Source organism: Homo sapiens, chromosome 8, assembly GCF_000001405.40.
Source record: "Homo sapiens chromosome 8, GRCh38.p14 Primary Assembly".
Classification (NCBI taxonomy): Eukaryota; Metazoa; Chordata; class Mammalia; order Primates; family Hominidae; genus Homo; species Homo sapiens.
Window position 1 is genome coordinate 102389279 of NC_000008.11, and position 14058 is coordinate 102403336.

The following is a 14058-nucleotide window of genomic DNA, read 5'->3' on the forward strand; positions in this document are numbered from 1 at the left end:
TGGTTTTATTTCTTGGGATGCATGCCTTTGAAACTCTGAGCTACCATATTAAGGACTCTGGCTAATCGAAGTCTCCATGATAAAGAGACTACACAGATAGAGATGCCTAAGGAATCCCAGCTGTTGCAGACCCCAGTTGTTTTGAGTCTTTAAATGAAGACACCCTCTACATGACTCCAGCATTTGACTGCAACTACATGAGAAACATAGAGTAAGAACCACCTACCAAGTACTGTCAATTCCCAGAAGAGATAATAATAATATATGATTGTTGTTTCACCCATTAAGTTTGGGTTGGTTTACTGCCCAGCAATAAAAAATCAGGATGATGAACAAAGAAAGAACCTCAACATTTTCTTGGGCCCTGGCTCCATTGGTATATGACTAAAGACTCATTTATGCTTCATCTTTACTATCTTCCTTACCATCTTCCTTTTACTGCACTACATTTAAAAAACAAATTTTCTTCCTATTAATATTAAGGATTTTTTTTTTTTTTTGAGACAGAGTCTCCTCTGTCGCTCAGGCTGGAGTGCAGTGGCACAATCTCAGCTCACTGCAAGCTCTGCCTCCTGGGTTCACGCCATTCTCCTGCCTCAGCCTCCCAAGTAGCTGGGACTACAGGTGCCCGCCACCACACCTGGCTAATTTTTTGTATTTTTAGTAGAGACAGGGTTTCACCGTGTTAGCCAGGATGGTCTCGATCTCCTGACCTCATGATCTGCCCGCCTCGGCCTCCCAAAGTGTTGGGATTACAGGCGTGAGCCACCACGCCCAGCCAAGAAGGATTATTTTTTAAAAAACAAAAAAACTTTCTATTAATTTACATCTATGAACTTCCTTCAACATTTATTTCAAATACTTATTTACAAATCTATTTAACCATAGGCTCATCTGAATAGTACATGTTTGCTCAAAATAAAAGCCAATCCTTACGTAGCATCAAGAAGCAACACTTTGGGCCAGGCATGGTGGCTCACGCCTGTAATCCCAGTACTTTGGGAAACTAAGGTGGGCAGATCACTTGAGGTCAGGAGTTCAAGACCAACTGGCCAAAATGGTGAAACCCCATCTCTACTAAAAATACAAAAATTAGCCTAGCGTGGTGGCAGGCACCTGTAATCCCAGCTACTCGGAAGGCCGAGCTGAGATCGTGCCACTGCACTCCAGCCTCGGCAACAGCGAGACTCTGTCTCAAAAAAAAAAAAAAAAAAAGCCACACTTTTATATATACAACTGACAGGCCAACTCTCAACAATCACACCCGGTAATGTATACTGATAGAATGTTATTTCCTCATCCCTGCAGTCAGGAGAGTGCATAAGGAAACAAAAGTTGACAAAGCCAAAACCCTCACCAACCATTAATCTCTTGGAAAAATGGTCTCCGAACATCCCTGTAAATTTAACAAGTGCACAAACTGGCCTATTGCTTCCACATCTTTTGAAGCTAAGCCACTGCTAGTCATAGGATGTTAATCTGACAATACCATGTAGTCCAACGCAAAATATCTGCAAAATGAAGTTGCGAATCTTGCAAAAGGTACAAGACTTCATGAGGTCTAGGGAAAGCAATGTTGAGAAATTCAACAAAACGTACATACACGTCAGTGAGAAACAAAGAAACATATACACAGACCAATTAAAAGACAATGAATATCGAGGCTGGGTGTGGTGGCTCACCCCTGTAATCCCAACAATTTGGGAGGCCGAGGCGGGAGAATCCCTAGAGCCCAAGAGTTTAAGATCAGCCTAGGCACCATAGTGAGACCCCACCTCTACTTCAGAGGCCAAAGTGGGAGAATCTCTTCAGCCTGGGAGGTTGATGCTGCAGCGTACAGTGATGGTGCCACTGCACTCCATCCTGGGCAGCAGAGCAAGAACCTGTCTCAAAGAAAAGAAAACTGAAAGTGACAATTGTGCTTTAACATAGAATGTCAACATCAAATGATTACATGTAGCCCTTGGAAAAACCACAAATATGTTTGTAAAAATTACTCCACGATAAAATTCAAATGAAACCAAATGCAGCATGTGAACTTTGACTGAACTCTGGTTTAAAAATTCCCACTATTATACACAGACATTTTGAGGACAGGTGGAGAAAAATGAATATACACTGAGTATTGGATGATATTAGGGAATTTTTGTTAATTTCCTATAAAGTGTGATAATGGTAAAGTGGCTATATAGAAAAAGGTTCATACTTAGACGATACAAGCACATGCATTTAAAAATGAAGTATTACAATGACTGCAACTTTCAAATAGTTCAAAGTTATTTATATACACACATATTTTGCAAATATAGCAAAATCTTAGTAAGTTAGGCAGGAATATCATCACCCTTACTCAGCCAAGAAGTTACAGAAGATACATCCTCCTCCATCTACAATCCTTAGGATTAAATGTTTTCTTATAAAAGGGAGGGGGGAAATATGTCAGAAGCATTCAAACCACAGCAAATCCATCCTGAATTGTAGACGCTGGTTAAAGTAAGGCTGAGACCTACTAGGTCGTGTTCCCAGACAGTTAGGCATTCTAAGTCACAGGATGAGATAGAAGGTCAGCACAAGATACAGGTCATAAAGACCTTGCTGATAAAACAGGTAGCAGTAAAGAAGCCAGCTAAAACCCACCAAAATCGAGAGAGCAATGTAAGTGACCTCTGGTAATCCTCACTGCTATACTCCCAACAGTGCCATGACAGTTTACAAATACCATGGCAACGTCAGGAAGTTACCCTATATGGTCTAAAAAGGGGAGGAACCCTCAGTTCCTAGTAATTGCCTACCCCCTTCCCAGAAAAACTCATGAATAATCCCTATTATTAAGATCAAAAAATAACATTCTATCAGTATATGTTACCAGTGTGATTGTTGAGAGTTGGCCTGTCAGGTGTATTATTTACTAGGGTATATGCTATTGTTTAGCATATAATCAAGAAATAACCATAAAAATTAGTAATCAGCAGCCTTTGGGGACTGCTCTGCCTATGGAGTAGCCATTCTCCATTCCTTTACCTTTTTAATAAACTTGCTTTCACTTAAAAAAAATTTACTGAATCTAGAAGGTACTATCTACCTTCTAAAAGGTTATCCAGATAATTCATTGTTCATTCTTTCAATTCTTCTGCATATTTGAAAATGTTTACAATAGAATACTGGAAAAAACAAAAATAAAAATCTCACTAAAGCTACACAAACACACACACACACCTCCCAGTCAAGAATCTCCACTTAAGGAAAGCCTCCTAAAGAAAATACAGGAAAAAAAAAAAGGTAAAGTTATAATGTGCTCTCTTTCAATGTTATCAGGACTATTAGATACCAAAAAAAAAAAAAAACAAAAAACAAAAAACAAAAACTTCCAATGCTTGATTCATTCTTTATCCTAAAGATCAGAATATAGTGACAAGAACTAGTTTTTATAAAAAGACAGGATTCTGCTTAGTTTTGAAGTTCAAATTAATTTAATATAGATATATGCTAATGTACCTCAGGCACTAGGGATGCAAAGGCAACAATGAGCCTGTTATCAGGTCTCCCCACAGCTCTCCCAGATGACACTCACAAGCACAAACTGAAGGAAGGCAAGTTTAAAGAGTAGCACTGCACCAAAGATAAGAATGTGTAATAAATCACTTAAAGATACTACAAAGAATAGTAGTTCAATGGGCTTTCCCATCATTTTCAACTGATTACAATTTTTAATAAGACATTTCAAATAGATAAAATGTATGAAGATTAAACGCTACATATTTCAAAAGTGTTTCATGCAACATCTTGTCACTAGAATGTGAACTCCACAGGGGCAGACATTTTTGCCTGTTTTCCTGACTGATGTAGTCCAAGTGTCTGGCCCAAAACAAGCCCTCAGTAAATTATTTGTTGACTAACAATGAATGAATGAAACTTTAAGTCAATTTTTTTTAAATGACTTATGGGAATCTTCATTTATATTTAAGTTATGATGAAAATTCTGGTCAATTTACTAGGGGAAAAAAAGGGCTTAAATTTTACTCCAATTTTTTTACAAGTTGTCTTCTCCCAAAGTTAATTCTGAATGTAAAAACGGAAACAACAGGCGGTGGTTCACACTAGTAATCCCAGCACTTTGGGAGGCCAAGATGGGCGGATCACGAGGTCAAGAGTTCGAGACCAGCGTGGCCAACATGGTGAAACCCCGTCTCTACTAAAAATACAAAAAATTAGCCACGCATGGTAGCACACGCCAGTAGTCCCAGCTACTCAGGAGGCTGAGGCAGGAGAATCGCTTGAACCTGGGAGGTGGAGGTTGCAATGAGCTGAGATCACGCCACTGCACCCCAGTCAGGGGGACAGAGCAAAGTTTCTTTTAAGAAGTTTCTAGAGCCAGGCATGGTGGCTCATGCCTGTAATCCCAGCACTTTGAGAGGCTGAGGAAGGCGGATCACTTGAGGCCAGGAGTTCGAGACCAGCCTGGCCAGCATGGTGAAACTCCATCTCTACTAAAAACACAAAAATTAGCCGAGCATGGTGGCACACGCCTGGAGTCCCAGCTGCTCTGGAGGCTGAGGCACAAGAATTGCTTGAACCAGGGAGACGGTGGTTGCAGTGAGCCAAGATCCTGCCACTGCACTCCAGCCTGGGCAACAGAGCAAGACTCTGTCTTAAAAAATAACAATAAAAAGTTTCTAGAGGAAAAAATATTTTAGGTGAAACTAAATTACTATTCTTTATTCAATGATTTTCACGTTCTTATTTTAGGTGAATAGTTAAATAAGCTAAAACACTTTCCTAGAAATTTATTCTTTTTCTTTTTCTTGAGACGGACTCTCGCCCTCGCCCAGGCTGGAGTGCAGTGGCACAGTCGGCTCACTGCAACCTCTGCCTCCCGGGTTCAAGCCATTCTCCTGCCTCAGCTTCCTGAGTAGCTGGGATTACATTCGCACACCACCACGCCCAGCTAATTTTTGTATTTTTAGTAGAGACAGGGTTTCACCATTTTGGTCAGGCTGGTCTCTTAACTCCTGACCTCATCATCTGTCCGCCTTGGCCTCCCAAAGTGCTGGGGTTACAGGCGCGAGCCACCGCATCCGGCCAGAATTTATTCTTTTTCTATTATTAAAATAATATATACTCATATACAGAAGTATATAAAATACAAAATCATATCAAGAAATATCAAAAGTAATCAACCATAACCCAGAGGCAAGTATACCGTCATTTTGTTTTAGCACTTATGAAACTTTAGTCTTTACCACAGTTAATATCATAGACTTTTTCACCTCTTAGATAGAAAAACACATTGTCTTTTATTCAGCTCCGTGATTCTACTGGTTTCTCCAAAAGATCTGCAGTTTTTTCCCAATAACAGTGAGGCATTTGAACTGAATCATCCATTCAAGCTTGATCATCCTCATTAACAATGGCAAACACCAACAACTTGGCTGGAGAGAGGTGAAGTACATTCTTTGTAGCCACAAAATCAAGCAACTTGCCTACATGGAAAATGGAATTCACACTCCTTAGTGCATTGGTTCCATTACTCTAAGCCTAACCAACTACATTAACCAGTTATGGCCAATTTATGGCCTAGCACATCTTATTTACTTGATCATGATATGACCAAAGTCATTATTGAAGATAATTAACAAGGTATCCTTTTCTACAAGAACATTATTCAACTGATTTGAAACTCTATGTATTCATCAGTCTAAGCATTCTGGGCTTCTTTTAGTTCCTCAAATACACAGCAGTCTCTCACGGTCTCCACATGTGCTGTTCCTTCTGCCTAGGGAGCTCTTCCAGTTCTTAACACCTTGTCCTACGTCCTACATCCTACAGCTCTCCCACCAGCCTCTCTCAGCCTACCTCCTTTTCATTCACAATCCCTATTCTCATTTTCAACACTTCTTCAGGTAAGCTTTTCCCCTGCCCAAGACTGAACTGGTGCTTCTAGTGAAGAATCCTGAACTTTCCCTTTTCACTGTACTTGTCACACTGTCCTGTAACTGTCTCTTTTTCATGAACCAAACACCACCACCAGACACCCAAGACTAGAACTGACAGGCAGCAGACGCCCCCAAATCTTGCTGAATAAACACTCTTTTAATGATTTCACATATATCTATTTATATATATACACACACACACACGTACCTGTTTACATATACACAAACACAGTGTATTCATATTTATAATTACATATATACACAAACATACATACACACAAACAGTGTGTGTTCACATTAATATATAATTACATACACACACACATAGAAAAACAAGTAACTTCCTCTACCCTTTTCAAAGGAAAAGCAATAAGGCTAAGTTAATGTAGGGTGGAGTCTTTGCCACTTAACTAATCTAAGCACTCCGGCCCTCAGTTTCCTCAGCTATAAAATAAAATCCTAAAATCGTCCTTGGTGTAAAGTTTTGATGAAACATCTCAAAACATTCTATTCAGCAGTGTCAAGTCACAAGGTAATATCTATTACAGTCTAATACACAGAACAATGGGTTTCCTGGAAAACAGAAGTTAAAAAGTTTCTCATTGAGCATGTGGCAGTACTAGGACCTAATAAACAGCATTTCCAAAAAACAAGAGCAACACTCTTAATCCATTAGAAATCAAAGGTAAACAAACATTTTCAAACTCAGAAGGTGATATGCCATCATCAATGTGCTTTTGCTTTATCATATACTTGATAAAGCTGCACTCCTGCCTGAGTGACAGAGTGAGACTCCATGTCAAAAATAAAATCAAATAAAGGGGGAAGGGGTGGGGGAGCAATACAGAAGACCTGGGCATGTTTTTTAAGAGCTCCTCTTCAGTTAAACTAACCAGACGGCAAGAGCTTAGAAAGCTCTATTTTCTGCCCACTACTCCTAAATACCTATTAGAGTAAGTACAAAAAAAGCAGAAGAGCAGGTCTGAGGCAGGAAATAAGAATCAAACCTTAAAATGGCAGAACTGGCCAACATATATCAAATGTAACTCATAAAACAGTATCTATAGCTCTACAGTCACACAGATTCAAGGCTGAAATGAACTTTCAGACATTAAATACACCTCCTCATCTTACAAATGAGTAAAATGAAACTCACTGCATGAAAATGACTATGTGACTGTTTAGTGGAATGACCAAGCCTCCTAACTCCAACTCTACAGTCTTTCCAGTTCTCAGAGCTGTCTTCCATAGGGCCTGTCTGTGGTAGGTACACAGTATCTTTCGGATACACAGTATCACTCTTCAAATTCTGCAGGAATTGCTTGATAATTAGTGTCAATATCATAAAACAAACTTTCCAAAGATAGATAAAATTTTATTACAAAACTTAACAGATATATCTAAATTCAAATATATATATATACACACATATATATATACACACACACACACACATATATATATATATACACACACACACACACACATATATATATATATTTTTTTTTTTCTTGAGACAGAGTCTCGCTCTGTCACCAGACTGGACTGCAGTGGCGCGATCTCGGCTCACTGCAACCTCCGACTCCCCGGTTCAAGCGATTCTCCTGCCTCAGCCTCCCAAGTAGCTGGGATTACAGGCACACGCCACCATGCCCAGCAAATTTTTTTGTATTTTTAGTAGAGACGGAGTTTCACTTTGTTGGCCAGGATGGTCTCGATCTCCTGACCTCGTGATCTGCCCATCTCGGCCTCCCTAAGTGCTGGGATTACAGGCGTGAGCCACCACGCCCGGCCTGGTCTCATTTTTAAGTATCTCTGTGAGAACAGCATTTGAAGAGGCCACATAGTCAATCCCAGCCTGTGCACAATGAGCAAAAAGACTCTCTGCAAGGCTCAGATATCCTATCTTCCCTCCATCAATGCCTATAAACCAAAATTCACCCAGCTCAAGAAAACTGAAGAGGATAAACCAGTCCCCACATCCTGCAACCTAGTCTTCAAAGTCTTTCCTACACAACCATTAGATCCTTCTTCCCTATCACTTATATATCAATTAGCACTTAATTCCTTCTTTACATGTCTGTCTCCTCATCAAACTGAAAGCTCCATGAGGGCAGAGGCCAGCCATCTTTGTATTCCAGTGTATACACAGGTTAGCTGGCAAAGTATTTGTTGTACTGAGTTAAAGAATAAAAATCTAGCCTGGTGCGGTGGCTCACGCCCGTAATCCCAGTACTTTGGGAGGCCAAGGCAGATGGATCACCTGAGGTCAGGAGTCAGGAGTTCGAGACCAGCCTGGCCAATATGCCGAAATCCCGTCTCTACTAAAAATACAAAAAATTAGCCAGGCATGGTGGCGGGCGCCTGTAATCCCAGCTACTCGGGAGGCTGAGGCAGGAGAATTGCTTGAACCCAGGAGGTGGAGGTTGCAGTGAGCCGAGATTGCCATTGCACTCCACCCTGGGCTACAAGAGCGAAACTCTACCACAAACAAACAAAAAAAAATCTTTTTCCCACTTCCCTTGTTCACTTATTTTCCATTCATCAACATAATTAAGTAAAAGAAATCATGGACAATCATAGATTCACAGTTCTTTCTCCAAGTAATTCTATAATATAAAAACCCTTTTCCAAATATTCCATGTTCATGGATTGGAAGAATCAGTATTGTTAAATGTCTATACTACCCAAAGCAATCTATACATTCAATGCAATCTCTATCAAAACACCAATGACATTCTTCACAGAAATAGAAAATACAATCCTAAAATTTATATGGAACCACAGAAGACCCAAAATAGCCAAAGTTATCCTGAGCAAAATAACAAAATTGGAGGAATCACATTACCTGACTTCAAACTATACTACAGAGCTATAGTAACCAAAAAAGCATGGTACTGGCATAAAAACAGACACACAGACCAATGGAACAGAAACGAGAACCCAAAAACAAATCCATACATTTACAGTGAACTCATTTTCAACAAAGGTGCCAAGAACATATACTGGGGAAAAAACAGTCTCTTCAATAAATGGTGCTCAGAGAATCGGATGTCCATATGCAGAAGAATAAAACTAGACCTCTGTCTCTCACCATACTCAGAAATCAAACTGAAATGCATTAAACTTAAATCTAAGAGCTCAAAGTTTGAAATTTCCCCCCAAAAAACTGGGAAAACTCTCCAGGACACTGGACTGGGCAAAGACTTCTTGAGTAATACCCTACAAGCACAAGCAACTAAAGTAAAAATGGACAAATGGGATCACGTCAAGTTAAAAAGCTTCTGCAGGCTGGGCGTGGTGGCTCATGCCTGTAATCCCAGCACTTTGGGAGGCCAAGGAGGCTGGATCACAAGGTCAGGAGTTCAAGACAAGTCTGGCCAACATGGTCAAACCCTGTCTCTACTAAAAATACAAAAATTAGCCGGGCATGGTGGTGGGCGCCTGTAATCCCAGGTACTCGGGAGGCTAAGGCAGGAGAATCACTTGAACCCAGGAGGTAGAGGTTGCAGTGAGGCGAGATCGCGCCACTGCACTCTAGCCTGGGCAACAGAGCAAGACTCCATCTCAAAAAATAAAAATATAAAGCTCTGCAAAGCAAAGAAAACAATCCACCAAGTGAAGAGACAATACACAAAATGGGAGAAAATATTTACAAACTATCCACCTGATAAGGGATTAATAATGAGAATATCTAAGGAGCTCAAACAACTCTACAAGAAAAAATCTAATAATCTAATTAAAAATGAGCAAAAGGTCTGAATAGACATTTCCCAAAAGACATATAAATGGCAAACAGGTATATGATGAAAAAAAGCTATTCCCTACCACAATCACAAGGGCATGGAAACAGGAGTTAAAAAAAGACCAAATGATCTAGCCCAACTCTCTCATTTTACAAATGAGTTGTATCATTTACTCAAGGTCATATCATCATATGGCCAGTTAGTGTCGGATACAAAGAACAAATTCACGATCCTGCTTACTCCAACTTACATTCTATCTACCACCACATCAGACTGTCTAAAAATTTAAATCACTACATAATATATATTATCTCATCAAATTTTTTTTTTTTTTTGAGACGGAGTCTCACTCTGTCGCCCAGGCTAGAGTGCAATGGCGCGATCTCGGCTTACTGCAACCTCCACCTCCCAGGTTCAAGTGATTCTCCTGCCTCAGCCTCCTAAGTAGCTGGGATTACAGGTGCTCACCATCATGCCCGGCTTATTTTTGTACTTTTAGTAAAAAGACAGGGTTTCGCCACATTGGCCGTGCTGGTCTCGAACTCCTGACCTCAGGTGATCAGCCAGCTTCGGCCTCCCAAAGTGCTGAGATTACAGGCGTGAGCCATTATGCCCAGCCTATATCTCATCAATTTACAATCACATCTAAAAAGGCAAAGTTTTCTTTAAACTATGTCTTCAAATCTATGTTATCTTAAACAATTTTTGGCTGGGTGCAGTGGCTCACACCTGTAATCCGAACACTTTGGGAGGCCAAAGCGGGTGGATCACGAGGTCAGGAGTTCGAGACCAGCCTGGCCAACATGGTGAAACCCAGTCTCTACTAAAATTACAAAAAATTAGCTGGGCGTGGTGGCAGGCGCCTGTAGTCCCAGCTACTCAGGAGGCTGAGGCAGGAGAATTGCTTGAACCCAGGAGGTGGGGGTTGCAGTGAGCCGAGATGGCACCGCTGCACTCCACCCTGGGTGACAGAGCAAGACTCTGTCTCAAAAAAAAAAAAAAAAAAAAATCAAAAATGCACATGGGGAAAATGTCTCTATCTCTAGTATTTTGACATGGATGCCAAAAATATCTGGCATAATATGTTACCATTGAAGGAAGTTGGGTGATGGATCCATGGTACCCCTCTGTACCAATTTTGCATCTTCTTTTGAGTCTGTAATTATTTCAAAATAAAAGGTTAGAAAAACAAGCTAGGTGCAGTGGCACTCACCTGTAATCCTAGCTACTTGTCTGTAATCCCAGCTACTCAGGAAGCTGAGGCAAGAGGGTTGCTTGAGCCCAGGAGTTCAAGATCAGCCTAGGCAACACAGCAAGACCCTGTCTCAAAAAAAAAGAAAGGTAGAAAAACAATACATGGCATACCCACCTGATGCCACTCCCTGAGCTCGCTAATCTATAACCTCACTCTTCTCCAAGCTTTCTCCCTGAGCCAGAAAAAGTTCCAAACACGTCTCAACCCGAAGTTTCAGGACGGTTTGGTGTGGCAATTGAAACACACCAGCTATCCCTGGCCTAGCACACTTTTTGCACATGAGAAGCACACAAGCATTTACTCAACAAGAAAAACTAATCTAACACTGTTCTCAAACTCTGTGCAAGCAATAGCATGGCAAATATTTACACAGCCCAAACTCTACCTCTTGTAGCAGTCTTTCATAGTGCTACTATCTATGGATGAGCCTCATTTCTCCCAACTAGACTGTGACCTTACAAGCACCGAAATGCATTTTAAAAAGCTATCCTTTCAGTATCTCACAGTTGTGTAGAGGACCTAGAATTTATGTAACTTAATCTAAATTTTTCCAATTTCGTGGTTAAAAAAAAAGAAGCGAACAAAAATAAACTACTCTAGCTTAGAGAGAGACACACAAAATCAAGGAACAGGAAAATACCCTATTCTCAAACAGACAGGTATAAAACCTGTAAGTCTAAGGGGAAAAGGAAGGTTGGAGGCAGTGAAGAACTGGCAAGTTTGGCCCTATTTGCCATCATCAATCAATGTTAAGACAAAGAAAAGAGGGTAAAAGAGCCTTTTTACTCAGTGGTCTTCAAGTTTTGCTGCTCCTGATGACGGTCCATCCCATGAGAAGCACTGTTTTAAATCAAGAGACCTCCTAACTGGGAAAAGCCACCACAATCCATGATTTTACTACAATTTGACTAGGTTATGTTACTCATACAATAATTTCAATTCAACTGTCCGAAAAACCTTCTACTTTAAAAAAGCTTAACCATATCATGTCCCCGATCCCCAAAAAATGCTATTACCTCTCAATAATGTCTTAAAATTGACCAAAGGAAGACAAAGACTGAATCTACATGTCAATTGAAGAAGCTTTTACATTCCCAGAGCCCTCTGAAGAGCAGAGAGACCCTAGAGAAAAGCAAAATACCAACTGTCCTCGAGTCCCTGCCACTCTAGAGTTTCATGAAACCAGAAACATTCAGGGATGGTATGGGGTGGCTGCTAATTCCTGTACTGTACTACAGTACTGACTCCTGTCTCTGCAGGCAAGTGTCGTATGTACTCTTCAGTAGCTCTCAGCTCTCAAAAGTAGCAGAAAGATGAACAGATGCCAACAAAATCAGTCCACATGTCATCTCTGACCTGCAAACCATGGCCTGCCAACCTACACTACAGAAGTCACTCATTTCTGTTTCTGCATCCCCTAGGCAGTGACAAAATCCTACCAGGAATCGTCTCAGGTAGCAGGAATTTGGGTTAATCTTCTATTGGCGACTATAGGAGGCAAAAAAAAAAAAGTACTTCCCCCAAAAAACAACTACAGAAACAAAAGGTCCCACTGCCCATACTCCCCCTACTCAATTATTCTCTAATCTACATGTAATAATCAGAATACCTGATAAGCAGAAAAAACACAATCACTTAAGGAAAACACCTAAGGATTTCCTGGAGATGAAGACAAGTTTAAACATCACTAGAAATATAAGCCTATTAAGAGAATGAATGTTTAGCCAGGCATGGTGGCTCATGCTTATAATCCAAGCACTTTGGGGGCTGAGGCAGGAGAATCACTTGAGTGTCAGAGTTTGAGACCAGCCTGGGCAACATGCTGAAACCCCATCTCTATGAAAAACACAAAAATTAGCCAGGTGTGGTGGCACGCACCTGTAGTCCCAGCTACTAGGGAAGCTGAGGTGGGAGAACTACCTGGGCCTGGGAGATTGAGATTGCAGTGAGCCAATATTGCATCACTGCACTCCAGCCTGAGTGACAGAGTGAGACCTTGTCTCAAAAAAAAGAGAAAGAGAATGAATGTTTATAAACTACACTCACCCACAATTTCATAAAAATCGTTTGATTGCTGATGCTTCCTTAAAAGACTTAAAGCAGGGTTTGTAGAGGCAGATGATGTTACAGAGCAATAATTGGACAAGTTCGAATTACTTCTGGACAAGAAACAAAGCCACTACTACAACATAAGAGAACAGATAATCAGCTGAACAATCTAATACCCCTCTCCCCAAAGCCTTCCATATAAAACTCTGTTTTCATCATTTAGAAATTAAAATAACCCTACCATATTGTCTGGGCTTTCTTAGCTTTCTCCATCAAATTAACTTCCTAATCTCAAATTTAGCTTTTCTTAAGGCTTAAAAAACCATCTTCCTCCACTTCTCACTTCATAACAAGGAGGCTGTCACGGAAAACACCCAAATGAATTTCCACCATGTCCCTAAGTAAGAGTCTTGGAGACACAGTTAAGGCCATCTCTGGAGTTCCAGGTTGTCTGTGAGGTAGACCTGGTATCTGAATTCAAGTAAAGACCTGGAATACCTCATCGCCTGAATTCTGAACAGCAGATTCATGCTGGAGCAGAGCCAATTTCTTGAAACGGCAGGTTCTCGACACTTCTATATCACAGAAATGGAGCCTGAACTCATGGGGAAGAAAATAAAAACTTATCTACTGATCCATTCATCACAGTGCTTTGTCGACTAGCCACTATCATCATCTTTATAACTAGCAATCTAGAATACAACCATTACATTTAATGGAATTCTAAAATATAATCTTTTTACATATACTAGTATGTTTTTTAATTAACACAAAAATTTGCTGTCAAGAAAAATCTAGGTTTTTATTATCAGTGGACTTTTCCTATGAAAAACATTGTGATAAATTGAAGCCAAGAAAAACTTCAGGCCAGCCATGGTGTCTCCTGCCTGTAATCCCAGCATTTTGGGAGGCCAAGGTGGGAAGACAGCTTGAGGCCAGGAGTCTGAGACCAGCCTAGGCAACACAGCAAGACCATGTCTCTAATTTTAAAGAAATAAATAAGGCGAGGCACAGTGGTTCATGCCTGTAATCCCAGCACCTTGGAGAGGCTGAGACGGGATAATTGCTTGAGCCC

At 40.6% G+C, this 14058-nt stretch overlaps 1 protein-coding gene across 2 annotated transcripts in view, besides 2 other annotated features; it reads right to left on the reverse strand.

Moving 5' to 3' along the window:
- The window catches only part of UBR5 (ubiquitin protein ligase E3 component n-recognin 5), a 160428-nt gene that overhangs the window by 137006 nt on the left and 9364 nt on the right, over positions 1-14058 (reverse strand). The window lies entirely within an intron of this gene.
- Positions 3423-3717: a silencer, noted in NCBI's record as "tiled region #4694; HepG2 Repressive non-DNase unmatched - State 19:H4K20". NCBI's record gives its function as "represses a minimal TATA promoter and a strong SV40 promoter by Sharpr-MPRA in HepG2 cells {active_cell/tissue: HepG2}" and the evidence as "EXISTENCE:reporter gene assay evidence [ECO:0000049][PMID:27701403]".
- Positions 5769-5848: an enhancer, noted in NCBI's record as "active region_27752". NCBI's record gives its function as "activates an Ori minimal core promoter by ATAC-STARR-seq in GM12878 lymphoblastoid cells {active_cell/tissue: GM12878}" and the evidence as "EXISTENCE:reporter gene assay evidence [ECO:0000049][PMID:35858748]".